At 33.4% G+C, this 25,451-nt stretch overlaps 1 protein-coding gene and 1 long non-coding RNA gene across 16 annotated transcripts in view, besides 1 other annotated feature; one reads left to right on the forward strand and one right to left on the reverse strand.

Annotated features, from left to right (window-relative positions):
* BRINP3 (BMP/retinoic acid inducible neural specific 3) overlaps positions 1–25,451 on the reverse strand; it is a 380,207-nt gene that overhangs the window by 106,903 nt on the left and 247,853 nt on the right. For all 14 annotated transcript variants that reach the window (XM_017001129.2, NM_199051.3, XM_017001127.2 and 11 more), the window contains one exon: positions 21,522–21,758. In XM_017001129.2, coding sequence (XP_016856618.1) covers positions 21,522–21,758 — 237 coding nt within the window. The remainder of the gene's footprint in view (positions 1–21,521; positions 21,759–25,451) is intronic.
* Positions 24,026–24,226: a silencer, noted in NCBI's record as "peak561 fragment used in MPRA reporter construct". NCBI's record gives its function as "represses an SCP1 promoter by STARR-seq MPRAs in K562 erythroleukemia cells {active_cell/tissue: K562}" and the evidence as "EXISTENCE:reporter gene assay evidence [ECO:0000049][PMID:32103011]".
* The window catches only part of LOC105371659 (uncharacterized), a 36,078-nt gene continuing 35,030 nt past the window's right edge, over positions 24,404–25,451 (forward strand). For both annotated transcript variants that reach the window (XR_922376.3, XR_007067044.1), the window contains exon 1: positions 24,404–24,483. This is a non-coding gene — a long non-coding RNA (uncharacterized LOC105371659). The remainder of the gene's footprint in view (positions 24,484–25,451) is intronic.

Here is a 25,451-nt window from a genome sequence, read left to right on the forward strand (position 1 = left end):
CTAAAAATTGAATGTCCTGCCTTCAGAAAACATGAATAATCTGATCACCAGAGTAGCTCATCCATCAATGCTTCAAGTATTATACAGGAGGAATTCAAATATCAGATGGATAGGTCAGACTATAGAATCTCTAATATATTTTCTAACATTAAATATTGTGATACTATGAGAGGATTTCAGAGTCTCAAATAATAATTGTAACGATGTTTGAGAACTATCATTACAAGTTAAATATAAAATGGTTCAATATAGTTGTTTTCTTAAATACTGAGATCAGCTGAACTTAGTGAATCAAAATTTTCCTAGGAAATGTGATAGATTTAATGAATATTTATCCATTATTGGTTCCTTCTTTGTTATGCTTCCAAATAGAAGAAGAATAAATTTCCTCTCTATTGAATTTTGGATTCAACATATCATTTCCTTTGGCAAAAAAAAAAAAAAATCAGCCCGGACGATGTATGTAACTTCTGAGCAGAATCTTCACAAGCCAGTATGCAGTTGATATGGTTCTCTTTTCCACCTGCCACACATGGAAATATTCCCATGTTCAAGTGAGAGTTTGTTCTGTCAGTCTTGGTCTCAGATGGGTAGGAGGCAGACACCAGTTGATCTGCAACATCCATGTACTATAGAGGATGAATAAACTTTCCGTGTTTTAAAACTCATGATCTCCTGAGGTCATTAGATGTATGCAACTTCTGAGCAGAATCTTCGCAAGCCAGTAAGCGGTTGATATGGTTCTCTTTTCTACCCGCCACACATGGAAATATTGCCATGTTCAAATGAGAGTTTGTTCTGTCAGCCTTGATCTCAGATGGGTAGGAGGCAGACAACAGTTGATCTGCAACATCCATGTACTATAGAGGATGAATAAGCTTTCCATGTTTTAAAACTCATGATCTCCTGAGGTCATTAGTTATCTAACCTGCTCTAATATGGGAGTTGGGCAAAAGGTGCATTAATTGAGTAAATTCTGTCCATTAAGCAGGTCAGAAGCAGACTACACTCATCATTAGAGAAAAGAAATGATTGGGCCAGAACTGGAGTGTTGGTTACTTATGACTCTAAGAAAATGTGTAAGAAAATTTCAGATTCATGTTTACTATACTTCCAAATATGTTTAGGGCCAGGCCTACACTCAGAAGAAGGTACAAGAAAATGATACAAAAGGCCAAGAAAATAATACAAAGATAGTCCTTTTCTTCATTATCTCCCTTTAACTCTCAAACATTTTGCTTCCTTACCCTCTGTTTCCAAACCCGTAACAAAGATAAACCCCATAATAGAGGTACCATGGGCCTCTATTATGAGTCACACATGCTTTAAGAACAAATAAGACAGGAATGTTATGAGAGTTTATTTTTTTTTCCCAAAGGAAAACTTTATGTTATGACAAATTACAATTAGATAATCACCTCGTGCAGAACAAGAGACTGGGGAATGTTACCAGGCTTAAAAAAGAAATCCTACTATATTGCTGCTTAGGTGGAAATCTTACCTATGGTCTAGAGCCAAACTATCCATTGTTTAAAAGACACTTGCCAGTACACCGTTGCCAAATTAAGGTTAACTTGGGGTTCACTGCTTTACTACATGACTTAAATGTAACAACACAGACTTCATGGCATATTAGTTTAGGTATATGAAGGAAGAGGAAGAGAGGTGAATATAAATTGTTAAAATAAACATGGAACTCTTGAGATTCCAAGGAAATGCTTGAGTAGTTTATGACAGGTTTCTATTTGTCCTATTCTGCTAAATAAATAAATAAATAAATAAATGTCAATGAGCAGTAAGGAAAAACTTAATCTATAATACATTGAGGATCTGCAAAAAGCTCAAGGTGTGTGACAATGGTAGAAATATAAATATAAATTTCAAGACATTTTTAAGAAGTAAAGTGCAGCATTAAGTTAGAAAAAAAACGTGTATGTGTATGATAAAAAAAGAGGGACTCTTACTAAGAGCAGTCTTCATGAAAAAATACTTAAGAATTGTTCCTCACAACTCGATATTAATGAACAGTGTGAGATTCTTGCCAGAAAGTTAGAGGAATCTTAGTTTGCATTGTGCTCAGAATAAAGGATGTAAAATTAATGAATAAAACCATATCTGTTAATACGGCTTTTTGTTCAGTTCTGAATTCCAATGACAAATTGAGATTATTCCTAGAAGATGAAAAATGGTTAAGGGTTTAGAAATTTTGTGAAATAAAGAGTCATCTTTTCATTTCTAAGATATTTATTTACAATCTAAGAAAATGAGAATATTAAATTTACAGAAATAAAAAAGCAAAGAAGATATGATAGTTGTAGGCAAATACCTGAAGGCTGACCTAGTAGAGGCAGTAGGCCTCCAGAGAGAAAGAATAAATATTTCAGCACAAGACAATATCATGTTTGGGTTTTTTTTTTGTTTTGTTTTGTTTTTTTGTTTTTTTTTTTCAGAAAAGTGGAAAATAAAAAAAAATTCAAAATAAGTAAGAGTGATGTTAATATTAGAGATGTTATTTCTTACACTCTTCAACTTTGTGATACACTGAGCTCCTAGTCACTGGAAACAGAAATTAAATAATCAATACTAAATTGTATAAAGGAGAGGATTCTTCATCAGGTACAACATTTGACAAGCTTACCGCTAAATTGTCTGTCTGTCAGTTTTAACAATTGAGGCAAGACTTCATGCTTCAATAGTGTTTGGGGAAATTTATCTTGTTATTCTCTGTGTTAACTTGCATAGCCAGTGCGACAAATTTGGTCAACCTTTCTAGCCTGATGCTTGTTCAGAGTTCACACAACACAACTACCTGACAACCTGACATAACACCACACGTTTGTTTTGCTGCCAATTAACTCCGAGATCTTTACACTAGCACTTTGTCAATTCCTTAAATGAAGTACTGATTTTTGCCAACAGCAGGGTTATTTTTTCTTTAAAGCTGGCTGTTAAGATCATACTAGCAACATAACAAAAATTAAATGAGACTCTCAGTGACAGGCCATTTAGCCTCATGTCAGTTGCTATGTGCATGCTATATAGGTGTCACTAGAAGAGAATGGAGAAGGTCGAAAGGACATTGTTCAAACAAAAAGAAATATATATTTTACAAACAGATTTAATAATTGCTATGAGTCATGTGGCTACACTTCACAAAGTTTCCATTTACAAATGCATATAAAATATTGAATTACATAATGATAATGAACAAATTGATTTTTAGAAGAGATACAGACATGTTATTGTTAAAATTAGTATTACAGCCTAGATTATGATCCTTAAAAGTAACTCACAGCCTTGATAAGAAGTTGATAGCAAATATTAACCGTGACTGAAGGCATCTTGTATAGAGTTGAACTCGCTCTAGGTAAAATGTGTAATACATATTGTGTAATACATATTGGGTTGTTTGCTTGTTTGAGACAGGGTCTCGCTGTGTCACCCAAGCTGGAGTGCAGCTCACTGCAACCTCCGCCTCCTGGGCTCAAGGGATATTCACACCTTAGCCTTCCAAGTAGCTAGGACTACAGGTAAGCACTACTACACCTGGTTAATTTTTTTTTTTATTTTTTTTATTTTTGTAAAGGCTAGGGGACTCACTATGTTTCCCTGGTCTTGAACTCCTGGACTCAAGCTATCCACCCAACACGGCTGCCCAAAGTGCTGGCATTACAGGTGTGAGCCACTGTGCCCGGCCCTGTAATACATACTCTTATATCATGTGTTTTTGTGCACTGCCTACATATATTTATTTTTATCATGAGGCATTAATGATAACCTCTGGATCAGAACATGCCACTACTTAATGCATGCAGAGATATTAAGAGATATAAAAAGCAGGTAAGGGTTTTCCTTATGTAATAATAGCACTTTATTAAAGAGGTCCACATGGTGTGAGAACCATGTACTTTATTTATTTATTTGTTTGTTTATTTATTTATTTATTTTTTGAGACAGTCTCTTGCTCTGTCACCCAGGTTGAAGTGCTGTGGCAAAATCGCAGCTCACTGCAACAACCTCTGTCTCCCGGTTCAAGCGTTTCTTGATCCTCAGCTTCCCTAGAAGCTGTTACTACAGGCACACACCACCATGCCCAGCTAATTTTTGTATTTTTAGTAGAGACGGGATTTCACCATGTGGCCCAGGCTGGACTCTAACTCCTGGACTCAATTGATCTGACCGCCTTGGCCTCTCAATGTGCTGGAATTACAGGCATGAGCCACCATGCCCAATCAGAACCACCTACTTTTGTATGAGCTCAAATCCTGGCTTTATTACTTAATATATCTATTGTACAAGTCACTTAACATGTGTTAGCCCTAGCTTTCTTATCTTTAAAGTAAAAAAAAATACAATCATAACATTAACACTTTGAAGGATTACTTTAAAGTATAAATGGGGTAATGCCTAAAATGTCCTTTAAACTTGATCCATTATAAGTGGTTCATTACAGTTTCATTAAACTCCTTATATTATGCAATTGGAAAATACAGTAAATATTTACTATGATTTTTTTGTAGAAAATCAAACTTAAATTTTCATAATGTTACTGTTTTACTGAATAAATAAATTATAATCACCAATCTGTTTTACTCACAGTGAAAGAGAAAGCTTAATCTTCTTATACATAATTCAGTATAGACTAGTTTTGCCAAAGTAACAAACACAACCAAAGTGTTTTCTGATTTCAACCACAACTAAAAAGTTCTAGGTTTCAACTCACATTATTTATCTACCTAAGGTTGGCTGAGTGGCTCTGCTTTCCTTTGTCCTATCTCAGTAACACAAACAGTGAGTTTTCAACATCTAGAACATCATCAGTTGCTTTGGCTGAGGAAGTACACCAAGCATATCATGCCTGCCAGGTTCATAAAGCCTTCCTCTAGACAGTGATACATACAGTTTTTTCTCAAGCTTCCTTTATCAAAACAAGTCACATGGCCATACCTAACTTCAAATGTGCTGGAAGGTCGACTTTCTTATGTGTCTGTAAGAATGAGAACCAGTAATATTTGCTGAAGAGCATGAGTGACAACTTTGTATTATGTATCAATTTCATTTGACGTTCATAAAATATTTGCTCAGTACTTTAAATCTTTAAATATCTGCTTTGAGAGATCTGATAATCAAATAGAAAATATTTCACATAATATATCTTGACTTTGAATTAATTTCTAATGGTCTAAAATCCAAAAGTTCAGTCATGCATCCAAAACTTTAGGTCCAAATTCTATAGATTGCTGTCTTTATTTTTCAGTGCAATAATTGGCAAAGCAGTTTATATAAATTACACATTAATTCTGCACCTATAAGAATAGTCCACTTGTATGCTTTAGTAGAAAAATGAAGTTTGAAAAATAGTACATTTCTTTGAAAATGAATGTGTACTTGGTACTTTAACTACTTGTTAGTTTGTCATTATAAGGTAGTATTGCTTAAAAGTTAAATTTATATACACATGGAAGAAGTAATACACAAACTACTGGGTATACAACATTAGAGGATTTTAACAAAGTCTATGTGACCATTATGAGGTTACTGTAAAAGGTATGAATGTACTCAGTATTGATAACCCTTGTCATGGCTTCTAAGAGTTTGTGTTTGATGTGAATAAGTATTTTTATCAAAATTATCCAAATAGTAATATAAAGTATACACAATTTAGTGAAGTCATCACATATATTTTTGTAAAACTGACAATAGAGTATCAAGTAAAAATTCTCTGAATATATTGTATTATTTATTGATATCTCTTCACTATAGCATGTGTATGAAAAAAGCAAACAAAAAAGTTATCAAAGTCACTTTTTGTTTTGATTTTATGATGCTGAATCAAAGACTTTAATGTTTTTCAGATTAAACTGAATCTTTGAGTGAATTATGAGTTCAAATAAATACAAACTATATTAGACAAACAGGCACATTTATAATGAAAACAATCCTTTACAATAAATAAATTGAAACCAATAGAAAAAGCATTTGTGTGTTCCGGTATAAATATATATTCTATCATCTTATTATGAAGACTATGGCAGGGCAGTCATTCATGCTCTTCTTCATACCTGAATGACAAAGAATAATACAAAACAAAAGCTCTCAAAATACCTGTATAAAAATTTAAAATAACAATGAGTTAGTGTGATGGTTAATACTGATTGTCAACTTGATTGGCAAAGTATTGTTCCTGGGTATGTCTGTGAGAGTGTTGCCAAAGGGGATTATCATTTGAGTCAGCGGACTGGGAGAGGCAGACCCACCCTCAATCTGGGTGGGCACCATCTAATTAGCTGCCCTGCATGGCTAGAATAAAGCAGGCAGAAGAATGCGGAAGGACTACGCTTGTTGAGTCTTCCAGCCTCCATCTTTCTCCTGTGCCGGGTGCTTTCTGCCCTCGAATATTAGACTCCAAGTTCTTCAGCTTTTGGACTCTTGGATTTATACCAGTGATTTGCCAGGGGCTCTCGGGCCTTTGGCCACACTGAAGGCTACACTGTCAGCTTCCCTACTTTTGAGGTTTTTGGACTCGGACTGACCCACCACTGCTTTTCTAGCTCCTCGACTTGCAGACGGCCTATTGTGGGACTTTACCTTGTGCTCATGTGAGTCAATTCTCCTCAAAAAACTGCCTTTAAGAGGTGGAGGTTGCAGTGATCTGAGATCGTGCCACTGCACTCCATCCTGGGTGACAGAGCAAGACTCCATCTCAAAAACAAGCAAGCAAACAAACAAAAAACCTTCCTTTAATATATTCATATATCCTACAAGTTCTGCCCCTCTAGAGAACCCTGGATAATACAGGTAGTATTTTTGTTTTTTAAAATTGATCTTTAGACTGTGCCTATTGAAAAGGTGAATAGGATTACAGTTACAATGACATTCTTAGAGACACTTAATGAAGTAAATCAAATCGAATGTATAGACAATGTCTGGACACAGATATATTTTGTTATCTCATTCATCACTCAATCAGGATATAATATGATAGGTAATGTATCTTCTATATATAGCACATTGCAATAGCTTTTATGTAACAATGCAAATAAATATGTTGTTCTCTGCCATCAAAAAATGTCAAACTCTTTTCTGATAGTTGGAATGATGGCACTGATCTAAACAGAGAAAAAACATCAGGCCAACTGGAACAGGGAGAAGGCATTTGGCAAAAATTCATTTGAGATCTAAATCAGAAATCATTATATAAAACACCTGTTTGGCACTCCATAGCCATCTATGTCAGATGATGTTAAAAATTAATTGAAGTTCAGAGCAAAATTTGGTAATGGCAAGGATGATATTCATAATATTTTAAACACTGGTACAGTCAGGCATTGATAAGTCATAATGGAAACGGTGACCAATCAAAACAAATAGCAGCAGAAATCAAACTGGTTTTGCATAACAATCTTGGAGCTAAATACCCTCCCTGGTACTGGAGATAGCTACAAATTACAGTATAGTGCAATGAGCATATCATCACAATAAATTAAAACCATAACGATATCATGTAAATCAAGATTGAGACTGTTGTTACAAAAAGTTTGTTTTATTTCCTTTACTTTTATATTCCAACTACCAATTCCTTTAAAAGAGCTATGTTATAAATACAAGCATGATTGTCAAAAACCTTTACCCATGAGAAGGCAATTATATGACTGTTAATTTAGAATTAGACTTTTATATCCAGTTCATCAAGTCTAAATAAAGTTACTGAATGACAAATGAAGTAGCCAAAATTTTAAGAGATTAAATGACTTTCTAATGATCACAATGCTTCCTTCTAGTAAAGCTTGGTTTATCTTATTTTCAGCTATTTAGTTTGGAAAAAATGATACATACCCTGGATTGAATGCCTCAAAGGTCACTTAAACTACAGATACATCTCATTTTCCCGCAAGTATAGAAGACTGGAAAACATGAGATAGCAAGAGAAAAATTTATATATCCTCATCTGAGATTATATGGATAGATGATACAGATTATGATGTTTTCAGTTTCTTGTATCTGAAAAGTCAACTGTGGCTGACATTCTAACTGTTTGCAAATATTCTGAATCATCTTCTCCTCCAGGCAATGTGAAGTGGCATTTCTCTGTTTCCTTTCAAATTAGATTTGGCCATAAAATGTGATCATAAGTAATGCGAATTAGCTAGACACACATTACATAAGAGCCAGTGACGATTATCTGTATGCTTTCCCATTGCCTCCATTACCAAATCATTCAAGATAGTGATGTTTCCATCAGCCTGAGTCCAGGAGTGAAGTCAATGCTGAGAAGAGACTCCAGCTAACCTGTGGTGGGCACGTAATGTGAGCTAGAAATGACATTTGATTATATTATTTTAAGATTTTATGGTTGTTTATTATTGCAAATTGATTTTAACTTATATAGAAATTGGACCCAGGAAAGGAGGGAGGGGATAGTGTTAAGAAAAGCAAAACCCTACAGTTGTGGCATGGATTCAGTGGATCATGAAGGTGTCAAGTACCCTTTAGAAGAGGCTGAAATGGGAATGATAACAATCCATATTAGGCCATGAGGAAACAGCTGGGAAACTGTTACCAGCAGTAACTAGGAAATAATACTGTATACCCAACACACTCAGATGTCAGAAAAAAGAATGCTAGTTCTTTTGCTGGTAACTGTTTATGCCAAAGTATGGCAAGGTATTGCACTCTGTCATAGTGACACATAGCTCCAGATGATGGCTGCACCGTGAGCCCCCATCCTGTAGTGAGAACACATAGAGAAGATTTCACAACCAATACACAACAGACAAGTGATATGAACAAAGTGAACTTCAGTGTCCTCATCCAAAGATAATATTTCAAGGTGTGCTTCTGTGGAATTACCTATATTACTTGTCTGACATACGACCTCAAACTTAGAAAATAATTGCTGAATTTGACAGCATGAATAAAAGAGAATTGAGAGACTATGAATCAGGTAGAGTTAAAAGAGGCAACTGCTTCTCAACTGCCAGTAATAAAATTACGAACTGAGTTACAATGGCCAATTAAAATTCAGTCTCATAGCAAGGATGGTACGTGGTTGGCTTTCATGCCCCTTGCCATGATCATGAATAAATTAATTTGTTGGACATTAGGGATAATGTCCAATAAAAGTTGTGGTACCCAGAAAAGACTCTCCATTGAACTCCAAAGCCCAAGTAAAACTCTAATAAAATTGCACAATTGAAATGAGAGAGAAAGGAGGGAGGAATAGGTGGAAAAACAGCAAATGGGGGAACATATTTAGGAAAGACTGTGGGTGTGGCTATTGGCATAAACTGACTAAACTCAGTCAAAAGATCAGTTAATTTTTACATGAGTTATACTGCTAAAAATAATGAAGTTTAAAATTTAAAATGACGTGTGAGTCCCAGTGTTTGGGCAGAAAGCAACCTGAGAAAACTATCCCCCAGGCATATTCTCCAATTCTCATCTCCCATGTGGCTAAGGAGGATAATGGGATGGAAAGAATCACTCATAGGTTGGAGCTTGAGTCCCCGAAAAACAGAAGACAAGAGAGCCACTCTCAGAAATAAAAACTGAGGAATCTTCAAAGAGCATTCCCCACCTTCAGGTTCAGGCCTTCAAAATTTCAGAACTGCTCCAACTTGAGTTTGTTTTGTGTGTCCTGTTTTCTTTCTTCTGACTGGAAGTGCTTATTATAGTTAAGCTGAGAAATTCTCACTTGGTATATAATATGTCTGGGATAAATAACTTGCTTTTGGTTCATGACTTGATATCAAAAGAAACTATATCTGGATTTGATGAGGAGGCCGTCAAGCCTCACTCATTGTGCTGGACTCAGTTATTCATGGGAGTTTTGTTCTGTTTATCTTGGGGATGAGGTGAATGCGTCCTGCATCTGGGAAGAGAAGTAAACTGAATATCTTGTGATTTAGAACAGTGCACTGTAGAGTCATTGGAACTTCTCACATATTTTCAGGTTTTCTTTCAGGGAAAAAAGCCCTCCTTGAATTAACTATGAGTTGTTTGTTTTGGCCAATGGAATCCTGGCAGGTGTGGCATATGTCATTTTTCTGGCTGAAACTTTAAGACTTAGTGTATGCATTGTTTGTGGTGTTTTCTCCTTCTGCCATCGTGATCACTTTTGCCTTTAGGGGTTGCTGTCAGCCTGAGTGTTGGAAGAAGACATAGCAAAACTCACAGCAAACTTACAAGGAACAAATTAGGAAGAAGTCAATGGTATAACTCACGCTGTAACTCAAGGATTTGGGGAATTCTTTACTACTGCAGGATTACCTAGCCTGTCCTTAATGACAGACCATCTCAGATTGACTTAACAGTGAAGGACATTTATTGTCTAATGTAATTGAAACTCTAGAGGCAAGGTAAACTTGAAGCAGGAGTGATTCAACAACTCACTGACATAACCAAAGAAACATTTTTCTATCTTGAATGCCTTACAACTCTCATAAATGCAAGAAAGCTCATTAATGCTTTTATAAGTATGTTCTTCTTTTCCATTTAAGAAGAAAAGATAATAGCAATCCATGTAGCTATTATGAAAAAAAAAAAAAAAGAAATGAAATCTTGCGTCTCCCCCAAATACCCCTAGGAAATATATTTCTAGGCCTCATTGACCTGATTTTTTATATATCTTGAACCGATCTTCATAGACATGGAAACAGATTATTGTGCTTGTCTTACATTAATCAGAGAGTAATTCTGGATATCAATATAAGCTCAATCCCATACTTTGTGCATTACTAAAACTTAAATGTAGGTTTTACTCCCCAAAAATATGGGATACTTTACTGTCAAAGAAGGAGAATGAACATTGAGCAACCGACAGCAGATTTTATTAAAGATTATAACATGTAAAGTAGCATGTTAGTTAAAATTCAAATATTTTATTTGGATATACTTATTTTCCCTAGAAAATGTCCTCTTTCCATAAACTGATGGTCAAATATCATCTGAGAGAAAAACTATTTTTGATAAAGAAAATTAATAGTTTACATAAAATTTAAAAAAATTTATTTTTTCTTGCAAAACAGTTTGTAAATCTAGCTAACCCAATCTTTGCAATACTGCAGTATTCAAATTATTTGGCTTTGTAGCATTAGAAAGATTATCTATTTTCAGATGTAGTGTCAAAATGGATAGTGTTCTCTAACAGTTACACCTAGATGATTGCCAATACAAGATGGCCGCCAACTGTCATTCTTAGATCATCAAATAAATGTCTCTACATTTAATAGGACACGATGCTGATAAAGACATATGTTGACAGCATACAATACACCTTAGATATTCTATATGCCAAGTGGTAACACATTTTTTCCAAAGAGTAAAATGTCATGCCAAAACATTTGTAAAATATCCGTTCTTTATATAGACCAATCTCTTTATTTTTCCTTAGGATTATTAATTGCATGAAGATTGCTGTATTTCATAATTATAAGTAATGAAGTTTTTTATTTATCCAAAAAAAAAAACAACTGGGGATAACTCAGAAAGTTATTTGGAAAAGATAATTTATTTTTAACTATGTAGTAGTTATTCATTTTTTCTGGCAATTTTGGTAATTATTTGCACAAGTCTTTTGGTTTTAATCATTAAAATATGCATGCAAAACTGTATTTCTAGCTTTCTCATTAAGTTTGAATCCTTGATCCACATCTGGGTAGACATTGTCTAAGTAATGTCCAACAAAATTGTGATCTTTGTCTAATTAATTGTAACACATAAATTGGTTTTTATGTGGTTACTACTATTGTGAGGTTTTGTGTGTTTCATTTTTTCTCCCTCTATATTTTTATATATCTTTATTCTATACTATTTTTATTGTAATTAATGTTATGTATATGCTACCAATATTTCTTATTAAACAACATAAATTTATTTTCTAAAAATGTAAAGTTAGAGATAAATTGATTTCTATAAATATTGTTATTAGAGTGAGAAATTTTCTCAGGTTGCAAGACATGAAAAGAGAAATATTTCTATTTTAAAATTCGCTGACACTTTTATTTGCAGGCTGTAACAGGTGGGTTTTCCAGGACTTGCCCATTACAGAACAAAATGAATCAAATATAATCAAATATAAAATGGCTTAGCATTCTGTGCTAATCCTATCTACTGACTGAATTTTATATTCAGTGAAAATAGGAAACATACACAACAGAAAGTCATTTACAAACAGGTTATCTTGACCTAATGAAATATGCAAATTACTTCCTTCTTTTTGTATGGTACCAGTTATTAGCATTCTCTATTATTGTGGAATGCACTCTGACACACTTCATGTTGCTACTTACATTTAAGGAAGATTTCCTAAATTCAAATGAATATTCTCTTTTAATAAAATAGCAAACATAAACTGATTTTTTTTCTGTTTTAATAAAAATAACTTTTAGATAAGTTATTTACTTGCATTTGTTTAATTTTTCACATTACATTGAATCAGCCTTTGAAAGTAACCTAAAACTCCATTCCAATTTTTATTGTCTATGTAGAGTATAACAGGATTTGAATTTCAAGCCTGTAGATAAGAATAGACAAATTAGTATGTCTTGCACCTAAAAGTGAAGAATTCCCAGCAGAAACATGTAAAGAGTGCACTTGCACATAATTCCAAAGCTTTCCCAACCATCAGGGAAATGAAATAAGCTGGTGCATTTCCTTACAATCATGGTACTTAGAATAAAGACCATCAACTTACAAGAGCCTGTGAGTGGTGATAATATTTTAGAATTATTTTCCCAATGTAATAGCTGCCTCATTACTTCTTATATTTTGTTTATCTGTTATGAGGCAAAAAAAAAATGTTTCTCTTAACCAAAAGCTTTTCTCAAAACTATTACATGTGCTCTTTCATATATCTTACTAGTTTTAAAAAGAGTCCAATATAAATACAGTATTTTACCAATTGTTTAGTTCCAAGAAAAGTGAATGTGGTTTTACTGAAGATATAATTTATGAATAAAATGTTTGGGTTCATTATTTAGCTATCTATACCCTGAAATTAAAAATAATATAAATATTTTTCTGTGATGAATTCTTAAGTTTACAGCAAAGTAGGGCAACTTCTCAAGTGAAATATGAATCAGCTAAATACATTTGACCACTGATTACAGCAAATAATTCAATGTTGTAATTTTCAATATTAGAAATAGTTTCAGGGATACTATATCAGAAAATAGATTTATTCTGTAGATCACTGTTTTCCCAATATCGACATAACGGCATCCACTATGGCAAGAGCCTTTGGTTATAAACCTAAGATGAACAGTCCAAATGTGAGATAAGATTAAGAAGTCTGACTTTTGTTAGGACTGGCTTCTAATCAGTACTTCAAAATCTCTGGTCAATGAATGTTCCAGATCAAATATTTACCAATTTGCTACTAATTTAAACACATAACATGTAGTGAGCTTTGAAAATATTAATCTATTCAATTATTCTGTCAGTATGTCCTTCAGAGTATTTAGTTGCCAAAGTGCTAATTTTTTATTTTATTAAATTACACGAATACAGAAAAATATAAATATTGTAAGTGTATAACTCAGAATTTTCAAAAACTATATACACCATATAGCCGGGCTCCTAGATAAAGAAATAATACATTTTTGGTACCAAAAGAGCCTCCCAGACTCTCATCCATCACATCAGCCCTTGCTTAGGCAAAGGCATCATTGCCCTGATTCATAATAGTACAGGTAAGCTTTGCTTGTTTTATACTTAATATAAATGGAATCATATATGTATTTTTAAGTTTGGCTTCTTTTGTTCAATGTGATATTTCAGAGATTTATTCATATTTTGGATAGTCCATTCCTTCAAGCTTTATACAATTCCATTGTGTAAATATACCATGATTTTAAAATCATTTTTAATTGATGTGTATTTTATTGTAATTTGAAGAATTATAATTGTATACATTTATGAGGTAACACTGGATGTTATTATATATGTATATAATGAAGAATGAGTAATTCAAACTAATTAACATATCTACCACCTCAAATACTTATTTTTTTATGGTGAGAATATTTGAAATATATTAGAAATATATTCTGTTGGCAATTTTGAAACATACATTTTATTAACAAGTCAACATGCTATGCTATAGATCTCAAAACCTATTTTTCCGGTCTAACTGAAACTTTGCAACATTTGATGATCACATCCTCATACCTCCCCCCACCCTCCTTGTCCCCTCTATTCACCAATGTCTGCTTCCATTATTTTGGTTGTTTTTAATGCTCTATTTTGATCAAATAAATCTTAAGGGAGCCTACATTTACTAACTCTTCCTAAATCTATTTACCCTTTCATTGTGTAATTTGTGTTATTTCCAACAACAACAACAAAAGCAAAATATTTTGTTGAAGCCATCATTGTGTTTTCTCTTGTCTGGAACATGTTTTGTCACCTTCACACAGTACTAGGATAATTCCTTTGGGACCAACTCCATTCAGGACTGCCAGTGCTCTCATTATTTACAACGGCAATGCAAATAGGGGATTCAGGCACAACTAAGAGCCAAGAATAAAGCAGACCTAGCAGTAAAGAATCACGGAGCAAGCATATTTAACTATAAATGAAAAAAATTGGACAGATAAAACTGGAATTAATAATTAATCCTTCAATGCAATTCACAGACATTTACCCATAAGAAACAACAGCAAACAGGAAACCATGACCTCCTCAAAAAGACAGAACAAAAATTGAGTGACTGACCCAAACAAGATGCTGATTTGTGAGCTCTCTGACCAAGAATTCAAAACAGCAGTTTTCAGGAAACTCAGTGATCTCTAAGATAACACAGAAAAGCAATTCTGAAATTTATTAGAGAAATTTAACAAAGATATTAAAATAATAAAAAATCAAACAGAAATCATGGAATAGAGAAATACATTTCCTGAACTGAACAATTCATTAGAGGTCTCAACAGTAGAATGGACCAAGCAGAGAAAAGAATCAGTGAGCTAAAAGACTGGCTATTTGAAAATACATAGTCAGGGCCAGGAATGGTGGCTCACGCCTGTAATCCCAGCACTTTGGGAGGCCGAGGTGGGTGGATCACGAGGTCAAGAGATCGAGACCATCCTGGCCAACATGGTGAAACCCTGTCTCTACTAAAAATACAAAAATTAGCTGGATGTGGTGGCGGATGTCTGTAGTCCCAGCTACTCAGGAAGCTGAGGCAGGAGAATCGCTTGAACCTGGGAGGTGGAGGTTTCAGTGAGCCAAGATCTCACCACTGCACTCCAGCCTGGGTGACAGAGTGAGACTCCAAAAAAAAAATTAAAATAATAATAATAATAATAAATTTTAAAAAAAGGGAAATACACAGTCAGAGGGAAACAAACAAGCAAACAAATGAAAAACATGAAAAGGAACAAAGACCACCTATAAGATACAGAAAATTACCTCAAAAGACCAAATTGAAGAATTATTGGTATTCAAAAGTGAGCTGAGCAAGATCAAGGAGTGGAAATTTTAGTCAAATAAATAATGAAAAACTGTGCAAAGCTTGAGAAATATTCAGGTATAGAACGATCTGGGAATACTAGTCAGATTCAATCCCGATAAGACTACCTCCAAGGCATATAATAACCAAACTCCCTAAGATCAATGAAAAAGAGAGAATCCTAAAAGCAGCAAGAGAAAAGAAGCAAAAAGGATGAGTTCATGTCCTTTACAGGGACATGGGTGAAGCTGGAAACCATCATTCTCAGCTAACTATCGTAAGATCAGAAAACCAAACACTGCATGTTCTCAATCATATGTGGGAGTTGAACAATGAGATCACACGGACACAGGGAGAGGAACATCACACATCAGGGCCTGTCAGGGGTTGGGGGCTAGGGGAGGGTTAACATTAGGAGAAATACCTAATGTTGGTGACGGGTTGATGGGTGTAGCAAACCACCATGGCCCGTGTATACCTATGTAACAAAACTGCACGTTCTGCACATGTAACGCAGAACTTAAAGTATAATTTTTTTTAAAAAAGAAGCAAATAACATAAAAGACATAAAAGGAGCTTCAATTTGTCTGGCGACAAACTTCTCAATGGCATTTTCAATGTGTTCAAAGATAAAAAAAATTGCAACTCAAAAATATTGTATTAGGCAAAATCATCCTTAAAACATGAAGGAGAGATAAACTATTTCCCAAATAAACAAAAATGGAGAGAATTTACCACCACCAGACTCATCTTACAAGAAATGATAAAGGAAGCTCTTCAGTCTGAAAGTAAAAACATACAAATATGCCAAAAAAAAGTTTTCAAGGCATAAATCCCACTGGTAAAATTAAGTACAAGGACAAACTCAGAATACTCTGTCACTTTAATTTTGGTGTGCAATTCTCTTGTAACCTCATATGAAGCCCAAAAGTAAAATCTGTCAAAAACAGTAATAGCTATAGCAACTTTCTAAGAGATAGTATAAAAATCTGTAAACAGAGGAGTTCGAGACCAGCCTGGCCAACATGGTGAAACCCTGTCTCTACTACAAACACAAAAATTAGTCGGGCATGGTGGCAGATGCCTGTAATCCCAACTACTTGGGTGGCTGAAGCAAGAGAATCGCTTGAACCCGGGAGGCAGAGGTTGCAGTGAGCTGAGATCGCACCACTACACTCCAGCCTAGGCGACAGAGTGAGACTCCATCTCAAACAAACAAACAACAAAAAAAGTAAACTGGGGCAACTAAAAGTAAACATGTGGGTGAGTGGAGTTAAAGTGTAAAATTTTTTGTGTGCTTTTTGTCTTTGTTGTTTCTGTTCTTAGTTTGTTATCCAAGGTAAGTTGTCTTCTCTTTAGCATAACTTACTATATCTATAAGATGATTTTTGTAAGCCTCATAACTTGAGATAAATTCATGGAAAATGAAAAGCAACAAATTAAAACACACTACCAATGAAAATCACTTAATCACAAAGAAAGACAGTAAGAAGAGAAGAAGAGACTAAAACGAACCAGAAAACAAGCCACAAAATGGCAGTAGTGTGCACTTATTTATCAATAATAACACTGAATGTAAATGATCTCACTTCCCCAATTATAACGTGTATAGTGGCTGAATGAATAAAGAAGTAAGACCCAACTATATGTTGCCTTCAAAAAATCCACTTAATGTAGAAAGATACACATAGACTGAGCGTGAAGGGGTGGAAAAAGATACTCGATGCAACTGGAAAACAAAGGAGCAGGAGTAGCTATACCTATATCAGACAAAATAGATTAAAAATCTAAGATTTAAAAAGACATAGGAGGTCAATATAAAATGATAAAGGGGTCAATACAGCAAGATAATATAACAATTATCAATAGTTTTATGCCCAACAACAGAGTTTCCTATAAGTATATAAAGCACACATTAGTAGAGCTAAAAATATATATAAGACTATAATAAAATAACAGCAGGGGAATTTAACACCCTCGTATCAGTAATGAACATATCATCCAGACAGAAAATCAAGAAAGAAAGAGCACAGTTAAACTACGCACTAGATCTAATGGGCCCTAGATGACATTAACAAAACATTTCACCCAACTGCTGCAGAATATACATTCTTTCCTTCAGTGCATGGAACATTCTTCAGAATAGGTCATATCTTAAGCAACAAAAAAGTCTGAATAAATTAAAAAATAAAAATCTTATCAAGTAACTTTTCTGACCACAATGGAATAAAAACCACAAATTGAAAACAAGAGGAACCTTGGAAAATACACAAACACATAGAAATAAAACATCCTACTGGACAGCTAATGAGTCAATTAAAAAAATAAGAAGGCAATTAAAAAAAACAAATGAAAACAAAAATACAACAAACCAAAACTTGAGATACAATAACATCTATATCAAGCGGGATGTTTATAGTAATAAATGCCTAAATTAAAAGAGTATAAAGACTTCAAATAACCTAACAATGAACCTCAACGAACGAGAAAAGCAAGAATAAACCAAACCCCAAATTAATAGAAGAAATAATAAAAATCACAGCAGATATGAATAAAGTTGAGACAAAAAAATACATAAGATCAACAAAAGGAAAAGCTGCATGTTTGAAAAGATATTAACAAACCCTTAGCCAGATTAAGAATAAAGGAAGAAGAGGCAAATAAATAAAATAAGAAATGAAAAAGGGAAATAAATGAAATTTATACTAGAAAAATACATAAGATCAATGATAGAAAAAGTTGGGTTTTTGAAAAGATAATCAAAACTGACAAATTCTTTGTCTAAGAAAAAAAAGACCTAATTAAATAAAATCAGAAATGAAAAAGGAGACATAACAACTGAGAACCCAGAAGCACAAAGAATCGTTAGAGACTATTGTGAACAACTGCATGCCAACAAATTGGAAAACTTGGAAGAAATGAATAAATTCCTGGACACACACAACTTACCAAGATTGAACAATGAAGAAATAAAAAAAAAATTAACAAGCCAAAAATCAATATGGCTATCAAAGAGATAATTCAAAGTCTTCCATCAAAATGAAGCTCAGGATCATTGGCTTCACTGCTAACTCTACCAAAATTTAAAGAAGAACCAATATCAGTTCTACCCAAATTCTCCAAAAATTTGGAAGGAAGGTAATACTCCAAACTCATTATATGAGGTCAGCATTACCCTGATACTAAAACCAGACAAAAACATGACAAGAAACCAATAAGAACACTACAGATCAATATCACTGATGAGCAGAGATGCAAAGATAATCAACAAAACACTAGCAAACCAAATTCAACAACACATTAACATGATCAAGTGAAATTCATCCTAGGGATACAAAGATGGTTCAACACATGCAAATCAACAAACGTGATGCATCACATTAGCAGAATCAAGAAAATAAACATATCATTATTTCAATAGATGCCAAAAAAGCACTTGATAAAATTGAACAACAGTTCATGATAAAAACTCTCATCAAAATGGGTATAGAGAGAATACACTTCAAAATTATAAAGGCCATGTATGACAAACCCACAGTTAACACTGTGCTGAATGAGAAAAATAATTTTTTCTTATGAGAAAGGCCTTTTCTTTAAAGACTGGAACAAGATAAGAATGCTTACTTTCACCACTTTTATTCAACATGACATGGAAAGTCCTCTCCAGAACAAGTAGGGAAAAGAACTAAATAAAAAGCATAAAAACTGGAAAGAAGAAGTCAAATTAGCGTTGTTTGTAGACAACACAATTTCATACCTAGAAAAAACCTCAATAAAAACAATGTTAAAATTGATAAAAACATTCAGTAAAGTTGCGGGATACAAAATAAACTACAGAAATCAACAAATAATCTGAAAAAACAAGAAAGCAACCTCATTTACTATGGCTACAACTGTATAAAATACCTCAAAGCAATCAAACCAAATAATGGAAAGATCTATATAAGAAAAACTATGAAATTCTTATGCAAAAAGTACAAGAAAACACACAAATAATGTAAAGATATTTCATATGTATGGATTGGAATATTTAATGTTGTTAAAATGACAATACTACTAAAGCAATTTACGGATTCAGCACAATCCCCATCAAAACAGTGGCATTCTTCACAGAAATAGAAAAAAAAAATTATAAAATATGTGCAGGACATCAAAAGATACCCAAATAACTAAAGTAATCATGAGCAAAAAAGAACAAAGCTAGAATCATCACACCACCTGACTTCAAATTTACTACAAAGCTATCACAATCAAAACAGCATAGTACTGGGATAAAAGCAGACACATAGACCAATGGAATAGAATAGAGAACCATATATATATCCACACATTTACAGCCAACTCAACTTTGACAAAGACTACACATACGTTGGGGAAAAGAAAATCTTTTAAATAAATATTGCTGGAAAAAATGGATAATTTTATGCAGAAAAAATCTAGACCCCTATCTCTCACCATACACAAAAATCAAATAAAAATAAATTATAGACTTAAATCTAAAACTTAAAAATATAAAACTAAAAACGAAATTATTTAGGAAACACTACAGGACATTGGTCTGGGCAAAGATTTTTTTGTTTGTAAAACCTCAACATTACAGACAACTAAAGCAAAAAATAGACAAATGGAATTATATCAAGCTAAAAAGCCTCTGTACAGTAAACAATCAGCAAAGTGAAGAGATAACCCACAGAATGGGAGAAAATATTTACAAACCATTCATCTGTCCAGGGATTAATAACCAGAATACATAAGGAGCTCAAACAACTAAATAACCAAAACAAAATACTAAAAACCAAAACTAATAACCCAATTAAAGACTGGGCAGAATATCTGAATACATATTTCTCATAAGAAGACATAAAGATGGCAAACAGATATATGAAATAATGCTCAACATCACTAATTATCAGAGAAATGCAAGTCAAAACTACAATTTAAAATGGGTTGTATCAAAAGACAGGCAATAACAGGTGCTGGTGAGGATGCAGAGAAAGGGGAACCCTTCTACACTGTTGGTGGAAATATAGATTAGTAGAGCCACTAAGGAGAACTCTATGGAGTTTGCTCAAACACCTAAAGTAGAAGTACCATATTATTAATCTCACTACTGAATATATATACAAAATAAAGGAAATCAGTATATTGAATATATAGCTGCACTCCCTTATTTATTGCAGCACTATTCCCAATAACCAAATACGGATTCAATTTAACTGCCCATCAGTGGATGAATAGATTAAGAGAATGTGTTATATATACACAATGGAATATTATTCAGCCATAAAATAGAATGAAATCTTGTCATCTGCAACAACATGGATGGAACAAGAGGCCTTTATATTAAGTGAAATAAGTCAATCACAGAAAGACAAATATTCTAACCCACATGTTCCCACTCATATGTGGAAGCTAAAAAAAGTAGAACTCATGAAGATAGAGAGTAGAACGGTGGTTTCCAGAGGCCAGGAAGGGTAGTGGGGGCTGGGAGAAAATGCAGGGAAAATAAAAGAATAAAAATGTATTTATTAAGTGTGCTTAAAAATCGCAAAGATAGTAAATTTTATATGTATGTTTTAACCAAGTAAAAATAAAACAATCATAACAAAACTCACAAAACACTATAAAATTAAAATTTAGATAACTTCATTGTAGAAATAAGTGAAGTGAAAATAAGCACTAATGAGAATCATGTTGAAAAAGGTATAGAACAAATGCTGTCTTCATTTTGCTGCACAAGAGAAAAGCAGACACTAGAAAAGTAGAGAAAAACCTCAGAGGTATCAGATGATAACTTAAAATTTCTTGTACTGAGAAAAGCAAGAACTTTATTTATTAAGTGACTAATACATCAACTTAGGATCAGGCTAAACTCTAATGCCAATAGTACATAGCAATACACAAAGCACTAGTTAATAACCAGTAGTAAAAGCAATGAAAATGTCCATTTGAAAGAATAAAAAAATGAAAATCTTTCCAACTATGTAATAGTTTCTTGAAAAAGGACAAATTAGCCATTTCAATATATTTTTTGTCAATATTTAAAAGTGTTATATTAAAATACATGTCTTACCTGATTCCTCAAAGTCACTGTTGTAAGCTTTCCAGGTTTCAGTTATTCGAAGAAGATTCTCTTCCATGGCTTGAATGTCCATGGAGGGGCAGTTGCATTCTGGAAATTTGGGACCACAGTGACACCAGCAGTCATTTTCCTTGCAGATAAACTCTCCCTCTGAATTGCAAGCAATGTAGCTCAAAGCTGCTTGTACAAAACGTTCCTGAAGATAGTCTGGGAGAAGTACTTGAAGCCCTTGAAGAACAAACAAAGAAATTAACAAATTTACTTTGTTAAAGAAAAAATTAAAATACTTATTTATAATATTCAATCAAAACAGTAAATAATTTAGTGTATTAAATTTTGAATTATGTATTTTTAAACTATCAGAAAAATATCTAAGTCTATATGCTGCAAATATTTATAACTCTTTCAACATATTCTGACTCCATGAATATGAAACTTCAGAAATAGAGATGATTAATCATGGAGATGATTGAAAACTCAGACTATTTGATGTAATTTATCACAATATTTGGTTATTTTTACATAATATAGATGGAGCCTATCTTTCTAAACCTTTGAAAATACACATATGCATTTATTTTCTACCAGTTGATTTCAAATGGTTTTCAATATTTTCATTTTGTTTGCAGACTATCAGCCCACATCAATGTAAATATCATATAATGGGTTGTGCCATTGATAAAATACATATTGAATGTTGATGGTAAGGCTTATCTCATGCCATTAACAACATATAAGTTATATAATTCTATTTTTCAAGAGTGAGTACCAAAAATAACTACAGGAATCAGATGGACTGATTTAGTTATTTCACAGTTTATTTTTTGCCATGTGTCAACAGTCCTAGTGATATAACTCATTAGTTTTCTAGAAACATGTTTAGTAAAGTTGCTATCTCTTAAAAAACTGTCCAAAATATTGTAAAATTAAGATTTGGGCTTTTCTCAGGGTGTAGCATTTATTACGATATTTCAAAAATGTAGTTTTTCAGTATGTCTGGCTACTTAAGAATACTTAAATACTAAATATTTAAACAAATAAGTAGGTAAAAATGAATACAAAGCTAAGGAAAAATCTGGTAATAGCAAAGTGTTACTTACCAGAAAACTGAATTTTTATAATTTCACATGTTTTCTGTTTAACAAAAAAATCAATGTTGACCCTTGACTATTATCTTAGAGGTTGATTTAATAAAAATCATTGATTAACATTTAGAAAAAAATTAATTTACAAATATGTTGACAAATTGCAAAATTTCCTTTGCAAATTGTTGGAAAAAGTACTCTTAGAACTTATATATTCGATTTCATATTAATTTTCATTTCACCTGGAATAAATATTTATTGAACAGTCTCATTTTGAATAAAATTGCTAGGTAAGATACAAATATGAGGGTGACTGAGAAATTTATTTGTCACAGAGATATCTGCAGTATATTTAAGAAAAATAAAAGATGCAACTATATAAGATACATGTGATTCAATAAATATAATTAATTGGCTAAACAATTATATTAAGTTCACAAAAGTAAAAAAACTTTTTATTAAAAAGTTAGGCATTGAACATTATTTGACAGATGTATAGTTTTCAATATTGAGTGACTGTGCTGAAGAGTGATACATTAACAGCATCACACACAGATAAAAAGCTGGGTTATATATTAATATATTTTGGAAATGAAAGTAGTAATATTGTTTCATTGCAAATGGGCTATAAGAATACAATGAAAGAGGTGCTTACACACATAAATGAGGAGTCATGTTGTTGGGATTCCTATGTCAGGGAATATAGAATTAATTCATTTAGATTTAAATTAATTTTACCATGTGGGATACTAAGAGTGGTACCCATTTGGAAGTAGAAGGTAAAGAAATATATTAGAGTTGACTAATTTTTAAGATTAGATTTAAGATCTTTAAGAAGACTGAAAAAATCCACACTAGGGAAAGAAATTAAGGTAATAGAGGAATAGTGAGAATCTGCTAGATAGTACTGTATTTGATCTAAGGCAAGTAAAAAGTGTTAAAATACTTAGAGGCATAAAATGATACATTCAGAAATTTTCTTAATCGTCTAGTCCTATGGTTTACCAAATTACTGCACATTTCAGATACACCTAGTGATTTTTTTTTTTCTGAAAACTTAAAGTGCTAAAAACAATTTGAATAATTCAGAGTCTTTGCTCAAGGAACTCAGGAATCAGTATATATTTATTAAAAGACCTAAGGTAACAGTAATTGAGTGTGGACTAGATACTTGTAAACTACTTATCCATTTTAATCTTAATTTCACACACAAAAAAACCAAAGAACTCGCGTACCATTTTCATAGTCATAAAGCACATCATTGCATTACAACGTTGAATCTGTAAGACGGTAGTGCTTTTGGAGAAATAGAGAAGGCAGGAGAAGTAATTTGGGGAGGAATGATTGGTGGCAAGAAATGGTGAGTTCCGCTTTAGAAACACAAATACTCCTGCTATGATGATACATACATACACTGCTAAAAGAAGGAAACTCACATTCTGTAAAACCATTATAAAATTAAAGAGTTTTGAGAAAAGAGGTTTAGGGACGCAGCGCTCAAAACACTTGAATTTTATAACCAGACCACCGATAAGAACTAGTTGGTTCCTAGAGAGATAGCTTGGCCTGCTCTGACAAACAACTCGGAGTGGTTCAGGGCTGGCCACGGAATTTTCTTTTTTTTTCTGCTATGTACAGAAACAGGAAAGCAGGAATACTGACAGCACTATATTTAGACCAGGTCTACCTAGTGCTGGAACAATGCTTAACAAAGCTTAGTTTTGAGCCTATGTGCTTCCTGTAAAAGCCAGGATGTGAGGGCAACTGCTACAAGCTGAGAACCACAGAGTAAAATATGAATGTTTCCGGTGTGAAAGGACTAGTTTGTTTTCAACCCACCTTCTCATGGAACCAACTAGGAAATCTAGGTAAAGTATTAAAAATAATCTGAAGAGATAACAAGGACAAAAATGAAGTGAGAATTTCTGGGGTTAACCTGGAAATAAGGTAATCCTACAGGCAGAGTGAGCCCAATATTGGGTTATATGGTTTGGCTCTGTGTCCCCCACAAAATCTCACTTTGAACTGTAATAATCCCCACATGTCGTGGGAGGGACCCAGTGGGAGGTAATAGAATCATGGAGGAAGGTTTTCTCATGATAGTGAATAAGTCTCAGAAGATGTGATGGTTTTATAAATGGGACCTCCCCTGCACAAACTCTCTCTTGTCTGCCCCCATATAAGATGTGACTTTGCTCCTCCTTGCCTCTGTCATGATTGTGAGGCATCCTCGGCCATGTGGAACTGGAGTAAATTAAACCTATTCTCTTTAGAAATTACCCAGTCTCAAGTATGTCTTTATTAGCAGCATAAGAACAGACTAATATGTTGGGCATATCTTTTCCATTAGAGTTCTGCCCAGAACAAAGTACAAATTGACATTTATACCAACCATGACAGAGATAGTAACTTCCTCAGGATTTAGTTACTAGATGAGCTACATACCCAGAGTAAAGAAAAACAAAACAAAACACACACACACACACACACACACACACACACACACACACACACAAAGAAACCACTAGCTTTCACCAGATCTGAAGTATAGTTCCAACTGGCATATTTCAAAATTAATTAAAATAGCATTGAAACTAAATCTTCTCTGAAGGAAAATGCACCATCAATAATTTTAAAATATTTTTATAAATTTTCACTCAAAACAGAATTCAATAAAATATGATGAACATATAAAAAGACAAGGGATGGTATAGAGGGTGTCAAACAAGAATGATAAATTAATTTCAATCACATGATCAAAAATTTAATAACAAAACAGACAATATGGCAAGGAACTAGAAATTATAAAGAAAAATCAAGTGGCTATTTTACAAAT

This window comes from Homo sapiens, chromosome 1 (assembly GCF_000001405.40).
Source record: "Homo sapiens chromosome 1, GRCh38.p14 Primary Assembly".
Taxonomy (NCBI): domain Eukaryota; kingdom Metazoa; phylum Chordata; class Mammalia; order Primates; family Hominidae; genus Homo; species Homo sapiens.